Here is an 18,540-nt window from a genome sequence, read left to right on the forward strand (position 1 = left end):
ACCCAAAAGACAGCAATCCCTGCCCTCCTAACGCTTCCACTTGGGATAGAGGTGAACGAGCAACAACAAGGTTAACCCATCGTCCAGCCAAGTGGCCTATTAAAAGGAGATGAGAACTACGGAGAAAGACAGGCAGCACCAGGAGGACGGGAGGGGCGGCAGTGGGGTGGGGAGCAGGGTGAAATTCTGCATGGATCCCAGGGAAGAACTCACAGAGGCGGAGACAGCAGGGACTGGAGGAGGGGAGAGTGAGCCTCACAGATGAGGGAGAGTGCCCCTTGCAGCAGTTGGGAGGCTCCAGGGGAGAAGGTCAAGCAGCCAAGCAGCGGAATGGAAAGCCCAGGAGTTGCTGAGCAAGGATCAGAGCAAGGGGACACTCAGACGCCCAGCTGAGAGTGCGGGGATGAAATGAGGAGAGATGCATAGCAAGCAAAGCCCCGAACCACCAAAAAGTCAGTCAGCAACTCCAGGGGAAGCAAAATATCGGACAGGAAAGGCTAAGGCAACGCTTCCCTAACTGGGCTGTGCTGTGTGTTGACACAGGCCTAATGCAGAAAACGTGCACCACGGATCTGACCAGACTGCAGAGCACCGTCATGACCTGCCACCCAGAGGGCAGGATGCAGGGCACAGAGGGAGAGAGAGCCCACAATTCCCCTCCTCTGAGGCAAGAAGCCAATACAGACGTCCACAAGGGGAATATCAAGGGGTGGAGCCAAGCATGCACTTGGGAACTCTGCAGGTGAATACTCCAGGGGCACAGGGGCCTCCGGGGGAGTAAGGCAGGGGAGGGGAGTCACTGTTTCTCTAGACCATAGAAGTCACGGGCTCTTGAAACTATCTGCATGAATAACTTTGATACAACCAAAAACTAGAAGGGGAGGAGGGAAGAAGGAAAAAGGCAAGATGGCCCTGCCTGCTGAAGTCCCCATGGCAGCCAGGGCCTACAAAGAGGGAGCAGAGCAACTGGATGAGGACTGGAGCGGGAAGCTGCCTGGAGGCGGTGGCCCTGGACAAACACCTGGAGGGTGTCAAGGGAGGAAGAGAAAGGCCTTCACTCTGCCTCTCAGGAGCCTACTCCTGCTCAGGCCTCCTCCTAGTCAAGGACCACAGGCAGCCCCCAACCCTGTCCCCCTTGACAGTGGGCCTGTCTGTCCAGTCCCTACAGCAGACAGATCCAGGCTAGCTACTGTAATCCCCTGGCTCTCAGAGGGAGCCCTGCCTTCCCCGACCCCCACTCGCCCTTCTGTCTTTACCTCCTCCTGGGCACTTGTCCTTTGGCCTCTGGCGTTTGCATATGCTGTGTATCCTCCCTCCTCCTTATTGTTCAGGTTTCATTTAAGAAACCCCCTGCTCCAGGGACTGTCCCTGATCCCCCAGGTCCATCCTTTCAACTTAGTCCCCTAAAACACAAAAACAAAGGGAGCAGAGTGCTTCTAGAGATAGCAAGAAAACCCTACCACCGACAGGGAGCTCTGGATGCCCCAGAGCCTGCACTGCCCACTAAACAGTCCCGGAGGATGGAGGAGAAGATGGGACTAGGATGAGGCCCTGGTGGGACCCTGGGTACTTACGCGGGTGCCCCTCCCTCACACGTTTCCAGAAGGGCCCGCTTAGGGAAATGCTTAACCAAGGACCTTAAAGGTGGCTTTTCAGCAGCCAGTGAGGGTGAGCATCCTCCCCCACAGGGCTCCCGGCCACGGCTTTCCCTCAGCCTGAGCACTCCCTCTCCTGCGGCTCCCAGAGCTAGGCCCTCCTCACCAGCTGTAAATAACAGACACACTGAGAGAACATGTCACAAAACCACGGACACATTTCACAACACGTAGTCTCTTGCTATGAGCCTGGCATTTACATCTGCGGAGTTGGTGCCTCGGGCAGTGGGGTAGACGCACAGCTCTGCCCCTCTTCCCAGCCCTGTCTGCCCAGAGAGGGGCCCTGGGCTCAAAGGGCCTGGACCGAGTGGCTTCCAAATGGGGTTTCCAGGCTCAAGAGCTGTGCGCCTGCAGTTCTTAGTCTGTGGAGCCCCAATTTAGGGATCTGGCCTCAGGGACTTTCCAGGGAGCATCTTTGCCTTGGATTCTGTGCCAGAGTTTCCAAGCCCAGCCCAGGGATTGGGATTTTTAGGGCACTAATTCTAGAAGTTCTATCGTGAGATGGGGAGCAAGTCCTGAGCTTGAGGTTCTCATCTGGGAGCTTTTAAAGAAGAGTCACCCTGGGCCCCTCCAACTGAGGGGCTGGTGTGACCTTCCGGGCCTCATCCACCTCTGCTTACTCCCTAGTTTTTGCAGAGACTTCCCACACTGTTGAAGGACCCTCAGTCAGTGGGGGCTCCAAACCAAGTGCCCCATGTGTTCAGGAGCAGGGATGAGAGGGGAGTACTCAAATAGGCAGGTCACACGGCCCTCATGCTGCGGGCACTGCTGCACACAGCCAGTGTCAGAAACCAGAGAGGGCTGTAGCTCACAAAGGCCACACAGCAGTGCTGGGCCAGCCAGCAGGTCCAAGTCCAGGTCCCAGTGATGCCTCTACCCCAGGTCCAGAGAACCAAGAAGGAAGTGAGGTGGAAATCAAGATGAACCCAGCTCCTTTCCCAGTACACACACACTCCACTATGTCCTCACCCAAGGTCTGTCAAGCCTCAGAAGTCTTTTGGGCAACTTGGCTGGCCTAACTGGGATAGCCCAACCCAGTTAAGGGGCTGGCTGGGCCCTGTTATATACCCAAGGGGGACTGAGACCCACGGGCTGGCCATGCCCCCAGGACGGAGTGGGAAGGGCAGGCCTGAGGGACATCCAGAGAACAGGAAGTTTGGCCCAGCTGGGCCCATCCTCCAGGAAGCCCTAGGGAGCCCACGCTGCTTCCCTGCCCAGGAGCAGCCTGAGTCGGGTAGCGAGCTACCCCCTCCATGGCAGCATACCCCTCAGCATTGAGGGAGCCCCAGCAGTGGGCAAACCCTGTGCGCTGTGAGCCCCGGCCCGACAGCCCATTCCGGAGAAGGGCTGACCATTGAAAGGTCTTATTTGTCATAAATACAAATGTTTGTTCCTGTGAAAAGCACAGGCTCTTTAAAGATAAAGATCCTGGCGTTCCTTGGTGTATATGCCCAAGGCCAGGGCCAGTCCACAGTAGGCACTCAGGAAATGAATGAACAAATGAATGGACATTTCCTTTATACTATCCCCACTGAAGGATCAACAGAGGACTTTATGCAGCAGCCTTTCAGCCACACGAATGTTCTCTCTGCTGATAGCACTCTCCATCACTTGTGCTCTTAAAACCTTGTTTTGGAGATGTTCAGAATTCCATCCAGGAATTAGGGTTGGGTTTTCTGCAGAGGGTTATTCACCTTCTTCTAACAGAACAGAACCTCCCAGTTCTCATCTTAAGCTACCTCACAGCAAATTTTCTGGATTTCTATATATAAAATAAATCATTTAACAAAAAAATCTGTATCTACAGTGTATGGAACAAAAGAAGATTTCAAAGCCCATTAACTCACAGAGATGGTATGTTACTGGGAGAATATGGGCTGTATAATTAAAACAATTTAAATCCAATTATAAGAAGACAGTGGGCTTTACTGCCTGCCACCATCTCACTAATGGAAAGAAACCCAATATCTTGAGTTTTCTAAAATTACTGTAAAATTATGAATTAGAACACATAGGTACCATCGCTCCACTGCTCTGTATTACTGATAAAATGAGATGAAATATTCCTTGCAGAGAAATATTCCTTGCAGAGAACATAAGCCATTGTTGGCTCAGAGCTCTGCTGGGCATACACAGCCTCTGGTGGCTGAGGCCCCCAAGGTGGGAAAGGAGGTGGTCAGCCAGTGTGAGAGGGTATCCTTTCTGGAGATCCCAGCCTTGAAGTTAATGAGGCGTGAATCCCCACATCTCCCTAGTGAACCATGGCACCCTGTGTCTGATGAGAGAGAATCGCTGTCATGCAGGGGGATGGACAGAATGACAGTCATGGCCCAGCCAGGGACCCCGCCTTGTGCAGCACAAGTGTGTATTTCAGTCTGAACTGGGGGAGAATGTCCAGAGCTGTGATGAAGGAAATCAACAGTGAGAGCACCCCCACTAGCCAATCACCTGCTGGGAGCTGGGGTGGGAAAGCACGTGGCCACGCCTGGCCCTTGGCGTTCCATCTCTGTGTCATGAAGGGCCACCGTTCATTGGCTGGCCCTGGCCGCCCCTTGGCACCACCCAGGAAGCTCTTAGAGAATACCAGTGCCTGGGCCCTTGCCCAGCTTGTTAAATCAGGCTCTCTGGGGTGGAGCCTGGGCACTGACACTTGACTGAATTCCTGGGGCCTGGGTCTGCTGTGCCCACAGTGGCTGGCACTGGGTCAACCCTCAAGAGACATGTGGGCAGGGAACAAATGGGCACCCACTGTATGCACACCATGTCTTCAGACTCTCAAAACAATTCTTCAAGGTAGATGTGAGTATCCCCATCCTACAGATGAGGAAACTGAGGCTCAGATATGTAGAGGAACATGCACTGACTCGCACAGCCAATAAGAGGCAGAAGAGGGACTCAGCCCAGCCACAGCACTGTCCAGTGTCAAAGATGATTCAGAGACTTCGCCCTATCCCACCTGCCTTCCCCCCAGCCAAGACTGGCCCACATGTGCCCCACACTGGACCAGAAGCTAGGGGAGGAGCAGGGACCAGCAAGAGCCAGGTGCTGCCTCTGAGGCCGTGGTGGTCTAGCAATGCCACCAGGTGCTGGGGAGAAATGGAGCACAGCCCCTCCTATACCAGCCTCTTTTGGAGCCAAAGTACACTTGTAGGATATAATTTACACACACCAGGAAAGCCCTGTCTTGACACCTGAATTTTACCATTAGGTCATTCTAAGAAGTCTAGCAGAATTTGGGTCTCTAGACAACTCTTGTGGCCCATGTCACATCCTCTCAGCCACCTCTCCTCCTGTTGCTGTGGTGACTGGCTGCATACGGGCATCCCTGGGCAGCCCTCATCTCTGCTCAGCAGGGGGCTCTCTGCTGGCACCAGGCGGGAACTGCCCAGCCAAGCTGCTGCACAAACCTGGAATACCTGGGAAGGGAGCAGCACCGGGTCCCTCTGACCAGTGAGGAGTGGGCTGGTGGATAAATGCTCCCACTTTCCCTGCCCGGATGGACAATCCAGATGCATTTTTTTGTGGTTCCCTGGAGGGCCCCAGCAGGAATGAGCCCCAGTGGCCCACGGCAGTGACCAATCAGACTGGCCTTCCCTCCCGCCCTGATTCACACTTCCTCTTCCCTTGGCACATGTTCCAAAGTCCACTGCTGGTGCATGAGCCTTCATCTCAGATGTCTGACATGAGACATCTTCATCTTCATGTCTGCATGGAGGGGCCTCGAGCTGCCATATGTTATGAAATGCAGGTACCCTTGTCATAAGCCAGCACCATCTCAACAGTATATGTAATAAAGTCACTCAGAGTGGTGCAGCTTGGGTGGACAGGAACAGGGGACCCTGGGGTGGAAAAGAGAGAGGCCTGGGTCTATCAGACCTACCACCAGGCCTTGGGCAAATTTGGGGGTCTAAGCCCTGCTTCCCATCCAGGGAGAAGCCAGCTAGCCTAGCAGCCTGGTCCTCCTCTCCCCTCTCTGTGGCAGACCAGGCATCTGTGGCCATGGGAGGCAGAAGCCAGGCTTAGGGATGGGCCTCAGCCATGTAGAAGTCCTGAAACCTCCAAGAATGGTACGCGCTGCACCTGGGATCCTCAGGGAGCGGCCCTGAATCCAGAGCACAGATGCCTGCAGAGGCAGGGGTTGGGGGAGCTGACTAGCCTGTGCAATTCTGCCATCCCCACAGGCCTCTCTCCTCACAGCTTAAGGGCCTAGATGGAGGCACATGGCTCTGAGCCCCAGCGATGTCCCCTCCAGTGGCCCACATCCTAGATCCTTTGATGCTCAGGGGTTCAGTCCTGAGCCACTTCTGCCTGTACCAGAGGGAAGCCCTAAGGCCCCTGCAGACTTTGCCAGGATGTCAGCACCTCCTCCATCTATGCCCAGGGACCCTGGACAGCTCACCTCTGAGCCCTAGCTCCAGCTATGCCACTGCCTGGAGTGCCTGCCTCCCTTTCTTCACCTGACCAACCACTGTTCCACACTTAAGACTCAGCTCAGAAGTCACTTCTTCCAGGAAGCCTCCCCTGGTTAACCCCAAGCCCAGGCTAGGTTAGGCACCACCCCTGTGCTCCCACACCCCTGGGCAGGCTTCATTCTCTTGTAGCATGCTTCACATTCTTAGGCCACTCGTCTGTCCCTGCCACACCCAGCTAGTGGCCATAGTATGCAGAGTGTCCAGACACGCTGCTGGGTGTGGCCTGCCAGGGCAACTCCAGCACATGGGTTCTGCCAGCTGGAAACACCGTCTCCGCCCCAGCCCACCTTACACCCCTTAAGAAGGCTCACGTTTCTTCTTGGACCACCACCACCTGCTTTCTCCAGCTGAAATTAATAATTTTAAAGTAATTAAGTCCAGCAAACCATAACCGATTAAGTAGGGACTGGTGCTGGCTGGCAGAGCTGCCATAGCCTTATCTCTGCCCAGGCCTGTGTTTGGAGGGCAGCTGGGTGGGGCCTGGCCCCAGGTCCACCCCCTCCAGGCCCTGACCATCCTGTAGCAGAGATAAACGTCTCTGAGTAGCCAGCCGCCTAATGAGACTGTCAGGGGACTTCTTAATGAGATTAGGCAGGGCCCTAGCTTTGCCTCACAGTGCTAGGACTTCTATTCAATTAATCGTTCAGAGCGGAGCAGACGCTGCCCAGGAGGCAGGAGCCAGGCCTTTGCTGATAAGGCAGCCACCTCCCAGCAGCAGCCCAGCTTCCCGAAGTCCACGGCAGCCCCAGGCATTGGCCCCACTAGGCAGAAGGATAAACAGAGGCTGGCCAGGAGGATGGGGCAAGGCTGCTGGCCCAGGACTCCTCCTTGTCCCTTGGAACCTGGAGGGAGCTCTCAGGGTTCCCCACAAATGTGCCTATTGGGAGGAATAAAGCAGAGATCCCCACCCACAATGTATGCATGGGGTAAGGAGAGGCCTCCCGGCTGGGGAAGACTGAAACCAGGTACAAGAGCATACATGGCAGCTACATAGTGAGGGCTATGTGTGAGAGGCCCAGGCCCGGTACCCTGCGTGAACGCTGAGCACAGGTGTCATCCTGCGGGCTGGCACATGTCCCTTACCCCAGAAAGCCTACCCTAACTGCCCAGCCCCACCCTCCTGCCCTGCCCCACCCACCCATGGACATACCACAGAGCTCAAAGCCTGGCCCTTCCCCTCCTTACTCTCCTGTCCCCAAAGAGCTTTCCAGCCAGCACTGTTTGGGTCTCCTGGAGCTCTCCGGAACAACTGTCACCAGGTGTTGCCCTGAGGCTCCCAGTCCAATCCCCCCTTAACGTGACAGGCCACATTCCAAGTGCCTGTGGCAGAGAAGCCCCCAGCTGGACACTGCTGCAGTCTCGGCATCCTTTCTCTTCCTCTCCAAGTGACCCCACCCCCATCTACCGTGCCTCTTTCACTCTCAGTCCAGGGACTGGGCAGCCCCCACCAGTCTGACAATCAGGGTGTTCTACTCCTTGGGCACCAGGATTGATTCGGGGAGGAAGTGATTCAGCCCCATACCAGCCCAGTGAGCTGAAGTCCTGGGACTCCTGTGAGACTCTTGTTAAATAATCCCCCTCTTCCAGGGGCAAGTGGCCAGGGGGCTGGGCTCATTAGACATCAGCCTGCAACAGGCAGGAGGCTGCCCAGGAAGGAAACCACACAGGAGAGAGCAGGGACAAGGGGTGTGGAGACGGAGGCAGAGTCCTGTGGATACCATTTGGGCCTTGGATCCAGCCATGCCTGAAGCGATGCAGCCTCTGGCCTTTTCTATTACATGGCCTAATAATGATCCCTGTTTTGCTTAGGCCCAAATGAGAGTTTCTGACACCAGCATGATTATTATGACTCACATGGAGGGTGATTTCAGACCCACAGCAGGTTTCCCTGGAGGTGATAGTCTCAGATGGTCCGCTTTAGCATTCTGACAAACACACACGTGGGCCACAACTTCCCCACAGGCCATGAGAGGCAGAAACCCCTATGTGCCACAGGGTGCGAGGCCCGGCCACCTTCCCCATGGTCCCAGTGGGGACCTCCCAGCATATCTAGACAGGCTCCCCCAGGAAGGGACTCTCTGGGAAGATGACCCCTGGACCACCTATCACTGGGGTCTCAGTCCAACAGCCGGTGTGCACTGTGAGCTCTCTGGGACACACAAGTGTGCATGCAGTATGTGTGTGCAGGTCCTCGTGTGTACTTGTCAGAGGTCCAGTCAGGCAGCCACTCAACAAACATTTGCTCCACCCCTGCATGTGCCTAGGCCTGTACAGGCCTGGGAGTCCCAAGATGAGGAGTTCATGGTGCTGGTGCTCACAGACTTCAAAGGTGCATGTAGAAGCCAGACACCAAAGATACAATGAATGGCATGACAGCAATGAGGCGGCCCCGGCCCGGGCAGAGGAAGCAGAGCGGCCAGGAAAGGCCTCCTGAAGAGCGTACAGAACTGAGACTGGGATGAGACGGGGCTCTGCGGCACAGGGTGGATGGGTGGAGGCAACCAGGAGAGAGCAGACTGGATGCCAGGCCAGAGGCCAGACCACGAGGACTTGAATGCTGAGCACAGGTGTGACCCTGCAGGCCAGCAGCCACAGGGGCCTGGTGTCGGGAAGATGCCCTGGGGAGCTCTGAGGGGCAAGGCTGAGTGGGGGCCCATCTGCTATGTGCCAGTGCCTGGACTGGCATGCAAGAGTCCCAGCACATCCACGCACGTAGCACGTCCACGTGACAGCGTCCCAGGGCAAGGCCAAGGCAGAGCCACATGCATGCCCCTGCTGGCTGCACCTGACATCCAGGAGCTCCCGGAAGCATTCACCAGTGCCGATCAGTGCGTACTGAGACTCATCACAGACCTCGCTGTCCTGCCTTTAACAATGTTAATTTTCTTGGCAGGAGCTAAGTAGCCTAAAGCAGTGGATCCCATCCTGGCTGCACTCATGCAGGCTTCTCCTAAGAAAGCTTGAGCATGTACAACTACAGAGCTTCAAAGCCCTTCTAGCCCCTGCTCACCAGGAAGGGTCCAGCTCCTGCTTCCTCAGAGGCCCGCGTGGTGGCAGCAGTGGCTGCTGGCTATGTCCTCACAGACAGGCAATGGTCAGCAGCTCCTGGAGTGCGGAGGGAGGCACTGGTGGGAGCTGGTGGGCAATACCTCCCTGCCAAGCTCACGGCTGTCAGGCTCACTGCCCTAGACCTGCAACAGCTCCTCCCCTTCCCGGCCAGGGACCCTTTCCCCTGCCCTGGCCAGAAAGAGGCAGTGGCCAGGACCATGTCAGCCCCATTTCACCCATGGAGGCTGCTGGGGGAAGAGGGGCTCCTAAGCCACCAGAAAATTCCCAGGTGGGAGAAGAGAAGAGAAACCCAAGTTCTGGTGCACAAGCTTATACCGCCAGCACCTGGAGCCCGGGTGAGCTTCTATTTCTTCTGCACGACTTCTCCACTCACCCCCAACTACCCTCTCCCGCCCACACAGGCACACCTCAGGCATACAGAGGCATGGGGCCTCCAGAACTTTCCCACTCCAGCCAGTGAGTGTTGGAAACATCTCCAGCGTGGTTCTCCCCTTTGCACATGGCCTTGGAAGCCCTCATATAAATAGCCATTACCAGGGAGAGGCAGTGCCATCAGCTCTCATCTTTTCTTGCCAGAAAGATCTTCAGTGCAGAAGCTGACCAGGAGGGAAGGGCTAGCACAGGCAGACCTACAGGGGGCAGGACAGGGCTGCTATACATGCAGCTGTGCGACCCCAAGTGGTCCTGAGAAAGAACACCGGACAAGGAGCAGCAGCATGCAGAGGTTGCAGAGAGCAGAGTTCCCATGAGTCCCTCCATCCTGTTGCCCATCCAAGGACTTTTACTGAACACCTCCAACCAGCCACATACCAGGCTTGGCTCTGGGGACTTGGCAGTAAACAAGACAGACACTTCTCTGCCCTCACAAACCTGATGGCCCTCACAAATAAATTAATAACATCATTGCCGACGAGGACGCCTACAAAGAAGGAAAAGAACATTTTGGTAGAGTAATAGGGGCCCTACTTGGAGCCAAGGGGAGCTTCTCTGAGGAGGTAAGATCAGAGGCATAGCCAAAGGCCAAGAAGGGGCCCAGCATGCAAAGAGCCTTCCAGATAGTAGGAACAGCATGTGCAAAGGCCCCAGGGTAGATGCATGCTTGGGTTGTTGGAGAGATGGGGAAAAGGCCAATGTGGCCAGAGCAGTGAGGTCAAGAGAAGTGGCGGCTAAGACACAGGTAAGTTCAGCTTTTGTCGGGGTCCTTGGGGACTTGCAGCCCTGGCAAGGGGTCTGGATTTGATTCTTAGTGCAATGGGGAGCCATTGAAGGGTTTCAGCAGGAGAGGGAGGTGGTTAGGTTGATTTTTCAGATAACTCTGGCTGCTACATGGACAATGGCCTGGAGGGAAGGGCAGAGGCAGGGGGACACGGGGAAGTGACCTCAAGTGTCCAGGCTGGGGCTGGGGAGATGGCACTGGAGGTGGAGAGAACCACACAAAAGCCAGGTGCGTAGTGGGAGGCCCAGCACATACAAGGAGAGCACCGGCTTGGCTGCCAGTCCTTCACATTCCCTAAGCAATCCCTGCTTCACTTTGCTTTCTGTGTCATTCCCTGTACTGCCCAGGATTGTCCTGAGATGATGCCCAGACAGCTCTGGGCAGTTTGTAATGTATTGGTAGACACCTCTGCCTTTTTTAAAATTGATGTTTAGTAATTGTACATATTTATGGGGTACAGAGTGATATTTCAATACATGCGTACAATGTGTAATGATCACATCAGGTAATTAGCATATCCATCACCTCAAACATTCATCATTTCTTTGTGTTGAGAACATCCAAATTCCTCTCTTCTAGCTGTTTGAAAATATACAATAAATTGTTGTTAATTATAGTCACCCTGCAGTGCTCTGGACCACTAGAACTTATGCCTTCTAACCAGCTGTAACTTTGTGTCCCTTAACCATCTTCTCCCTATCTTCCCTCCCCCTGCCCTCCCCAGTCTCTAGTAACCTGTATTCCACTCTCTACTTCTATGAGTTCAATGTGTTTAGCTCCCACATGAGTGAGAACATGCAGATGCCTCTGCTTTTGAACAGGCAATCACCAGGAGCCTGCAGTACAGCAGATGCTGCCAAGCTCACTGCATTCCTTTACCCAGTGAGATTCCTGGGCCAGCTGCAAGCGCCACTCAGGTGACTGTCCATGAGGCTTCTACAATGAAAGGAGGATCAGCTGAAATGGCTCCAGGACCCCAGCCGACTCCGGCATCCTGTGGCTCCGTGAAACATGCACAAGACGGTGTATGTGGATAGAAAAAGTGCGCAGGACTGAGTCAGGTACAGACACACACGGGCTAATGGGATTTCTGGGATTCTTGCAGCACACATAGGAGCTGGTCTGTGACCCAGGGTCAAGCCACAGGGCAGGCTGGGGAGGTGGGCTGAGGGATCAATGGGTCCAGCCTGCTGGACATTTCTGAGGTCGGTGAGGGCAGCACAGGCCCCCCTACAAGGTGGCTGGGGCTGGGAAAGACAGCCAGCCCTCTAGAAAGTAGGCATGAGATTCGCAGAGCTCTGAGCACACAGGACTAAAGGAGCCAGTGTACAGACCGCATTTGGAGTCAAATAGCCAGCTGCATGAGCATTGGCAGGGGTGTCTGATGCACCCCCTTCTCTTGGGAGAAGATCCCAGGGCCTGAGGATCAGAGGCTCACCCACAGCCACAGCAAGCAGTGATTTGGGAAGCCAGTGTCCTCTTGGGCTTCATCAACATCAGCAGAGCATCCAGAACAAGCAGTGACCATCCCCATCCCTCTGCACTGGCCAGGTGACATCATGAGAACAATAACTGTAGCTGTTCTTTACTGAGCACCTCCTTGGTGCCAGGCACATGCTAAGTCCTCTGTAATCATTACTTCATTTGTTCCCGAAGTCAGCCCATTAAGTGGGGGCACCAGTATCCCAAGTGTACAGGAAGGAACACTGAGGCTCTGTGAATTACGTCCCTTGTTTAGGTACACCAGGGACCCTGTGTGTAAAGAGGGGCAGTGACAAAAGGGGCCAGGCGTGATGGCTCACGCCTGTAATCCCAGCACTTTAGGAGGCCGAGGCGAGCGGATCACAAGGTCAGGAGTTAGAGACCAGCCTGACCAACATGGTGAAACCCCGTCTCTACTAAAAATACAGCTCAGCATAAAGACTGGTTCGAGATGAGAGTCACCCATCCTCAGAGGTACATGGATCTTCAGCTCATGTGGTCCAAGGCTGGATTTGAGAAATTTGGGCACTGTAGCCCTAAGAAGGCAGGGCTGGTCCACGCTCCCTCAGGCAGTCAGTGCCTGGCCAGGTCTAGCCCCAGGCCAGGGTTTGCTCACAGCCCTTCCCCTCCTGTCTTAGTCTGCTCTGGCTGCTAAAACAAAACACCATAGACAGGTGGATTAAACAACAGACGAATTTATTTTCTCAACAGACAGTTCTGGAAGCTGAAAGTCCAAGATCAGGGTGCCAGCATGGTTGGTTCCTGATGAGGGCTGTCTTCCTGGCTTGCAGATGGCTGCCTTCTTGCTGCATCCTCACACAGCAGAGAGACACAGCAAGCTCTCCGGTGTCTCTTCTTATAAGGCCACTAATCCCATCATGAGGGCCCCACCCTTATGACCCCATCTAAACCTAATTACCTCCCAAGGCCCTGCCTGCAATGCCATCACATTGGGGGTTAAGGGCTTTGACATCATATTAGGGAAAACAAACATTCAGTCCATAACACTTCTAGACCTTCCCCCAGTCTGGCCTTGGTTTTGCATGGCCCCCTCAGCTCTGGACACAAGAACTCTGGCATCTGCTGACCTGTATAGCTGAGACCCCAAGAGGGCCACTCCCTGGGGTGGGCAGGCAGACTGGCTCCCTCTCATCCCACTAGCATGATGCTGAGATGCTACAGGGGACACTGACAATGAAAAAACACCTAAGGTGCTGTCCACAGCCTCCTCCTGACCTTGGCCAAGTTAAGTGACCACCACTGCAATGACCATCCCATTGGATGATCTCTGAGAGCCCTGAGGTCAGGCCTACACATCTGAGGCCAGGAACGTGCCCCAGGAGGGAAAGGAAAATGTGTTTATTGAGTGTGCACTACAAACTGCCCTTAGAGCTGAGGATACCACAGGGAACAAAAGCGACCAAGTCCCTCCCTCCCCACAGCCCACAACCTCCAGAAGACGTCACCGACAAGTCAAAGGAAACACAAGGCAAGGGGAGCACATGACCAGGCCAGTCTCCTGTGGGTGCTGGGATGCACCCTGAGGATGCCACCTCCCAACTGGGACCTCACGTGAGTCCAGGAGGAGTCTGAGGGGGCCAGCGGAGCTCTGAGCAGCAGCTGGAAGTCTTGGCTCTTTCTGCTAAACATGCCCAGGCAGCATGGGTGTCTGCAACAGTCTCCTTGTGTATGTATGCATGTGTGTACATACACATCTGCTCAGCACTGCCCACCACACCAGAGCCCCCAGAAGCCCTTTGGAGGGCTGAGCCATCACACTGCTGGACTGTCCAGGGCACCTATGGCCATGTTCCTCCCGTTCCAGCAGTGTGATGGCTCAGCCCTCCAAAGCCTTTATCAGGTGCACAGTAGATATGCCCTGAGCTGAGGCTCAGGTCCCTTCACAGAGCTGGGCCCCAGCAGCAAGCCTTGGGCCAGCTCCAGTTGGGGTTCTGTGATAAGGAGAGACCCACCCTCAGCTCTCCAGGCCCAGGCTGGCAAACTGCAGGACTTGGGGACGGCCCACGGGGTTGTTTTAGTTACGAGAGCCCTGTGGGAGAGGTGAGTGAGGGCAGGTACCCTGGGAGCCTCCTGGGACACAGGAGGACCAGCATTGGATGTTACAGCCATGGCAGGGAAGGAGTTAGGAGCCCTAGAGCCCAGCCAAATCAAGGCCACCTCAGCATCTGACACTGGCCACTGGAGATGGGGCACTGTTGGGAGGGGGGCTCGGCCCAGAGCTCAGGTCAGGTCTCAGAGCTTTGAGCCCAGAGCCCAGACCAGAGGCCAGAGTGGGGCCACTCCATGGCTCACCACACCTCTGGGCACTCAGATGAAAAGGCAGAAGGCCCACGGCCCCAGGCCAGGAGCGGACCCATGGCAGGACCTCAAGTCTCCACCTTGGACTGAGAAGGAAGAGCGCCATGGGGGACAGACAGCAAGAAGACAGCCTTCCAGGCCAGGCCAGGACCCAGTTTATAGGGGCACAGGCCACAGCAGAGCCAGACCATGGGTGGGCTGGGCCCAGAGCTCCAGGCAGCAAGGCCGGTGTCTCAGCCCGGACCTGGGGGTTGCTAGCACCCAGACAGGACCCAGAGACCAAGAGGTGTCGTGTACCTTGGCAGGGTCCCAGGAGGATGGAAAACATGGTGGCCGGGACACAACAAGAACGAATGCCTGCTGAGCATACTATGTGCCGGCACCCACGCCCTCAATGGGAGAATGAGCCCCAAGGCGCTAAGCACCCCTCTCTCGGGCGCCATGGTGGACTGTTGCTCACCACAGCCTCCCTCCTGCTGGCCATACGTCCTCTCTAGATCCACCACCACAACCCCAAGGCAGGCCCATTTCACAGATGTTGAGACTGAGGGTCAGAGAGGGAATGCGATCTGTTCAAGACCACACAGATAATCAATCAGATTTGGGAACTGAACCCACACCTTTCCACCTGACCCCTTTCCACCAAATAGAGCAAGGTAGGCCTGCCCTATGGCCAGGTCCCGGGGAGGCAGGGGCAGGCCAGTGGGATTCTGGCCACTCTATGCACTCAGAGCAGACAAGGCCACAGTAAGATGGAAATACCGTGCCGTGACAGGCCACAGGTTCCCAGAGCCCCAGCCTATACAGATGGCTCCGAGCAGCCTCCATATGAGCCATGTCGTCAACACTAACCTCCTTCCCTGCTCTCTTGAGACACCCAGAATGGCTGGGGCTCAACTCCAAGCTGCACATCTCCCCCGCCCTAAGTGGGGCCAAGGCTGTGGGAACCTGCTCACACTGCCCAGCCCAGAACAGGAAGTGAGAGGAGGACAAGTCTCCACCACAGACCACTCAGGCTAGTAAGATCACAGCGACCTCCACCTCTTCACCCAGCCACTGCCCTGTGCTCACCCTGGGCTGGGCTATTCTAGTGCATTTCCTCAACTGATCCTCTCAGCTGTCCTCTATTCCATTTTACAGTCAGGGAAACCGAGGTTGCCCACCCAGAGTCAGAAAGCAGAGCAGGGGTGGGAGCCCCAGTCTGTGTGAGACAGCCACCACACTCCCGCCTCTTCAGCTCCTGGACACCCCACGGATGCTCCAGTGGAGGCATGGGGAAGGGCCAGGCTGAGCACAGTGGGGGACCAGGGTGGGCCAGGTGGAGATGCAGTCTCAGAGCCCAGCTGCCTCATCTAGGGTCTGTTGAGGGATGAGTGTGAGGGAAAACTGGAAAGATGGGGCCATCAGGGCCACATGTCCCACACCTGGGTGGAGGAGAAGGGGCAGCCTGGGCTCAGGACCACCCTAGTCCCCCAGCTAACACCCCCCACCTCACCCACTGGTAACCTACACTGCCTACAGCTTGGACCTAGAAACGGAAGGGGCATCTCATACCCTCCAGACCACTCTGCCCACACCTCAGGCCCAGAAAGGGGAACTCTGGGTTCTCCTTTCTTCAACCGTGGCCATCTGCCAGGAAACTGGCTGTTTACAGGCTGGGAGGAAGGGCTCAGAGAGTCTAGCTGAGTTGTTGGACACAGACCCAGCTGTCTTCCTGGGCCCAGTGCCTGTCAGAGAGGGCAGCACCCCAGAGAAAGGGGCTGTCACAGGCCAGCAATGGCAGAGAGATGCGTGGTCTCTGCCCCAGCCCACTGCCATTAGCAGGAGAGGGCTGCCACTTCGTGGGGCAGCAGGGGCAAGACGTGGGAGTCTATATGAGGGACAGGGCCACAGGGCTGAAGCCGTGGAAAGTGCAGACTTGCCAAAGTCCAGCTACGGGGACAGGGGGAGGTCATGGGTGCTGGTCCTGTCGGTGGCTGGGCAGAGAACCCAATCTTTACCTCATGACTAGCTCAATGGTCCTGAGAGCTGGGCTTGTCCAGGCACTAGTTTACAGAGCACAAGATTGGCAGACATGGAGAAAAGCAGAGGTGCAACCCCAGCCTAGGCTGGGGACCCAGGCTTCCTAACTTCCCAGCACATGGAAGGGCTGCCCAGAGGTCTGCAGAGGAGGGACAAGTCGCTGAGTACACAGTGGGGTATCAATGGGAGCCACAGATTCTGCCCAACTAGCATCCCGTACCCAAAACTGTTTTTTGCTTTTTGTTTGTTGCTGTTATTTTAATGAAACGCCAAGGAAATAGGAGGGCTGTTTAGCCATGAATGGTAAAGAGGCAATTCTGTTGCTCACCAGTTGTTTCCAGTTCTCTCTGCTTCCAGGCACATAGTAGGGCTGTGCTTCCTGGATCCCTTGTGACTGGCTGTGGCCACATGGCTGGTTGTGGCCAACGAGTCATAAGCAGAAGTGATGTGAGCACATCCAGGCTGAGCCCCCCAGAGCTCTCTTTCCCTCTGGCACAGCAACTGGCAACAACCAAGTGAAGTGACCATGAGGGACCAAGCTCCCCACTGACCGGCAATGGACACACAGCAGGAGGAGGAAATACTGTGTCATGAAAGCTGCTGGGAGTTTTGGATTGTTTGTTACTGCAGCATAACTTAGTCTCCCCTGACTCATACAACGGGAAACACAGAACAAAACCAAAGGGTGGAGACCCACAGGCACAGCCATGGGTAACCAAGTGTAAAAAGAATCACATCCAGGGATGGAATGGGTTAGAAATTATCTGGGAAGAGGCAGGGCAGAAGGGATGCTCTGAGTTGTTAGGCGACAGCATTTCCTGGGCAGTAGAAGGCTCAGTGAAGAGGGAAGACAGCTGCTATGAGGACAAAGCTAGAGGATTTCAACCTCGCAGCTACAAGAATTGGGAAAGAGAGTCTGTCTGCCATTACAAGAGGTGACTGTGAGTGCTGAGGGACAGCCTTAGCTGGCCCCCAAGAGAAACCTGGAGAAATGGCTCCAGGAGGAAAATTGTCAAAGTACTCATGTCCTAGACCTAGAAACAAAAGGGGCCACCTCATCCCCTCCAGTCCACCCTGCCCACACCTCAGGTCCAGAAGGGGAACTCTGGGTTCTTCTTTCTCAACCATGGCCATTGGCCAGGAAACTGGCTGTTTCCAGGCTGGGAGGGAGGGCTCAGAGAGCCTAGCTGAGATGTTGGACACAGACCCAGCTGCCTTCCTGGGCCCAATGCCTGTCAGAAAGGACAGTATCCCAGAGGAAGGGGCTGTCACAGGCCAGCCCAGGACTAGGAACAGCAGCAGCTCAGAGGCAGTATGACCCGTGGCCTCTCCCACACGCCTGGCATAAGGTATCCATCTGCTCACTGCCAGTTAAGTCCAACCTCCCAATCTAGAGGGCTAAGCCATGGCAATAAGGAATGAAGGGAGCCTCTTGAACCCAAAATTTGAGGAAGTGGGTGGTGCTGGAGTGTAGTCTATAAAATGAGAAAGTGTGTGTGCCCTCATGCATATGTGCACGTGTGTGTGCTCTTGAGTACAGGTGGATGTGTGTGTGCCTGAGTATATGCATGCATGTGTGTGTGTGTTGCACATGCCTGTGTGTGCACCTGCACAGGAGTGACTCCAGAATGAAGGAGAACCCTGACACCTGTGAGTTCAGCACCCTGACACCGTGAGTTCAGCACGGGCTTGTGGGGAATCCAGAGAGGGGACCCAGGGCCTAACTCCAGACTATCAATGCCTGCAGCCTCATCCACAGCTGTTATCACTGGCAGTAGCCCTTGAGGGGACCAGGAACAGCAGCTCTCTGTGGGACCCCGGGCGGCAAAGCAAGATTGACTTCAACGAGGGCCGTCCCTTGGGGTGTAGGTAGGCATGGGCCTAGACGGTGAGGTTCTGAAGAACAACCTGCTCAGGCAGAAAAGAGGCCCTGGGTCCAAGCGGCAGCACCAACTTACAGTCTGACTATTCGAACAGCAGTTTCCTCCAGGAACTTCCTTATGCACAAGCAGCAGCCAAGCCCAGGAAAAGAAGCTGACATGTCATTGGAGAACACAGGCAAGTCTGTGGAGGCTCCACAGGCTTACAGTGTGATGCTTCCAGGGTGAGCTTTGTAGAAACAGAAAGGAAACATAGCCATCCATCCCAAGTGACTATAGCAGGCCCAGCGAACAAAAGAGGATGCCCCGCAGTAAGCAAGAGTGCAGTCAAGCATGCAAAAGATTATCAGGGTGGAAGGAAAGTGGAGGTGGACAATGCATATTGGGCACAGACAGGTGTGCCAACATGGTAGGAGAATAATGGC

At 55.3% G+C, this 18,540-nt stretch overlaps 1 protein-coding gene across 1 annotated transcript in view, besides 1 other annotated feature; it reads right to left on the reverse strand.

Moving 5' to 3' along the window:
- The window catches only part of GRID1 (glutamate ionotropic receptor delta type subunit 1), a 767,244-nt gene that overhangs the window by 740,275 nt on the left and 8,429 nt on the right, over positions 1 to 18,540 (reverse strand). The window lies entirely within an intron of this gene.
- Positions 6,046 to 6,340: a silencer, noted in NCBI's record as "tiled region #9256; K562 Repressive non-DNase unmatched - State 24:Quies". NCBI's record gives its function as "represses a minimal TATA promoter and a strong SV40 promoter by Sharpr-MPRA in K562 cells {active_cell/tissue: K562}" and the evidence as "EXISTENCE:reporter gene assay evidence [ECO:0000049][PMID:27701403]".

Source organism: Homo sapiens, chromosome 10 (assembly GCF_000001405.40).
Source record: "Homo sapiens chromosome 10, GRCh38.p14 Primary Assembly".
Taxonomy (NCBI): Eukaryota; Metazoa; Chordata; class Mammalia; order Primates; family Hominidae; genus Homo; species Homo sapiens.